This window comes from Homo sapiens, chromosome 7, assembly GCF_000001405.40.
Source record: "Homo sapiens chromosome 7, GRCh38.p14 Primary Assembly".
Taxonomy (NCBI): domain Eukaryota; kingdom Metazoa; phylum Chordata; class Mammalia; order Primates; family Hominidae; genus Homo; species Homo sapiens.
In genome coordinates, this window is record NC_000007.14 from 94,158,520 (window position 1) to 94,161,334 (window position 2,815).

At 39.0% G+C, this 2,815-nt stretch overlaps 1 annotated feature.

Annotated features, from left to right (window-relative positions):
* Positions 2,446-2,555: an enhancer, noted in NCBI's record as "active region_26287". NCBI's record gives its function as "activates an Ori minimal core promoter by ATAC-STARR-seq in GM12878 lymphoblastoid cells {active_cell/tissue: GM12878}" and the evidence as "EXISTENCE:reporter gene assay evidence [ECO:0000049][PMID:35858748]".

The following is a 2,815-nucleotide window of genomic DNA, read 5'->3' on the forward strand; positions in this document are numbered from 1 at the left end:
GGGCAATTAGTCAGGAGAAGGAAATAAAGGGTATTCAATTAGGAAAAGAGGAAGTCAAATTGTCCCTGTTTGCAGACGACATGATTGTATATCTAGAAAACCCCATCGTCTCAGCCAAAAATCTCCTTAAGCTGATAAGCAACTTCAGCAAAGTCTCAGGATACAAAATCAATGTACAAAAATCACAAGCATTCTTTATACACCAACAACAGACAAACAGAGAGCCAAATCATGAGTGAACTCCCATTCACAATTGCTTCAAAGAGAATAAAATACCTAGGAATCCAACTTACAAGGGATGTGAAGGACCTCTTCAAGGAGAACTACAAACCACTGCTCAACGAAATAAAAGAGGATACAAACATATGGAAGAACATTCCATGCTCATGGGTAGGAAGAATCAATATTGTGAAAATGGCCATACTGCCCAAGGTAATTTACAGATTCAATGCCATCCCCATCAAGCTACCAATGCCTTTCTTCACAGAATTGGAAAAAACTACTTTCAAGTTCATATGGAATCAAAAAGGAGCCCGCATTGCCAAGTCAATCCTAAGCCAAAAGAACAAAGCTGGAGGCATCACACTACCTGACTTCAAACTATACTACAAGGCTACAGTAACCAAAACAGCATGGTACTGGTACCAAAACAGAGATATAGATCAATGGAACAGAACAGAGCCCTCAGAAATAACACCGCATATCTACAACTATCTGATCTTTGACAAACCTGAGAAAAACAAGCAATGGGGAAAGGATTCCCTATTTAATAAATGGTGCTGGGAAAACTGGCTAGCCATATGTAGAAAGCTGAAACTGGATCCCTTCCTTACACCTTACACAAAAATCAATTCAAGATGGATTAAAGACTTAAACATTAGACCTAACACCATAAAAACCCTAGAAGAAAACCTAGGCATTACCATTCAGGACATAGGCACAGGCAAGGACTTCATGTCTAAAACACCAAAAGCAATGGCAACAAAAGCCAAAATTGACAAATGGGATCTAATTAAACTAAAGAGCTTCTGCACAGCAAAAGAAACTACCATCAGAGTGAACAGGCAACCTACAAAATGGGAGAAAATTTTCGCAACCTACTCATCTGACAAAGGGCTAATATCCAGAAACTACAATGAACTCAAACAAATTTACAAGAAAAAAACAAAACAACTGCATCAAAAAGTGGGCGAAGGACATGAACAGACACTTCTCAAAAGAAGACATTTATGCAGCCAAAAAACACATGAAAAAATGCTCACCATCACTGGCCATCAGAGAAATGCAAATCAAAACCACAATGAGATACCATCTCACACCAGTTAGAATGGCAATCATTAAAAAGTCAGGAAACAACAGGTGCTGGAGAGGATGTGGAGAAATAGGAACACTTTTACACTGTTGGTGGGACTGTAAACTAGTTCAACCATTGTGGAAGTCAGTGTGGCAATTCCTCAGGGATCTAGAACTGGAAATACCATTTGACCCAGCCATCCCATTACTGGGTATATACCCAAAGGACTATAAATCATGCTGCTATAAAGACACATGCACACGTATGTTTATTGCGGCATTATTCACGATAGCAAAGACTTGGAACCAACCCAAATGTCCAACAATGATAGACTGGATTAAGAAAATGTGGCACATATACACCATGGAATACTATGCAGCCATAAAAAATGATGAGTTCATGTCCTTTGTAGGGACATGGATGAAATTGGAAATCATCATTCTCAGTAAACTATCGCAAGAACAAAAAACCAAACACCGCATATTCTCACTCATAGGTGGGAATTGAACAATGAGATCACATGGACACAGGAAGGGGAATATCACACACTGGGGACTGTTGTGGGGTGGGGGGAGGGGGGAGGGATAGCATTGGGAGATATACCTAATGCTAGATGACGAGTTAGTGGGTGCAACACACCAGCATGGCACATGTATACATATGTAACTAACCTGCACAATGTGCACATGTACCCTAAAACTTAAAGTATAATAATAATAAAAAAAAAAAAGACAATTGAGCCCTATGGTTCTCTAGCATTAAGGACCGGGAATAGGAGAAAAATCAAAATAGGAGACTGATAAGAAGCAGCAATTAAAGTAAGAATAAAAAAGATGGTGATGCCCTGCAGGATCAGTGCAAAGTTGTTTCAAAAAGGAGGCAAAGATCAATAGTGTCAAGTGACAGTGAAGAGCCAAATTAAATGAGGACTGAAAATTGACCACAATGTTTGATAACACAGAGGTCACTGGTGACTTGAAAGAGCAGTTTTAATGGAATGATGAGGACTGTAGTAGAATAGAGAATGTTAAATACGAAAATGGATATAGGCAGAAACATTGCTCTTTGAAGTTTTTTGTCATAAAGAGGAACAGAGAAATGTGGTGGCAGCTGAAGGCAAATCTACTGTCAAAAAACAGAAGTGTTTTTTTGTTTTGGTTTTGGTTTTGGTTTTTTATTTTGTTTTTAAGTGGAGCCGTTACAGCATTTGTGTATGCTGCATTGGGAGAGAAAAGTTGATTGTGCAGAGAAAGGGATAGCCATTTTAAGGGCAGAGCTCTCAAGCATGGTCCACGTGGAGGAATTAGCTTTAAATAAAAGCCAGGATTCATAGTGTATTATAAGACAGCAGTTATTGATAAGAACAAGAACAAGATCTTAATCATTAGCATGGGTGGCAACTGTAGTCCCCTTCAAAAGGAGAAAGGGAAACACTCACTCCCAGCTTTAAGTTTTGGCCCTGAAGATGTAGCTCCCACTTTAGAATGACAGCATGTTTTCTCCCTGAGATTATTACACTGT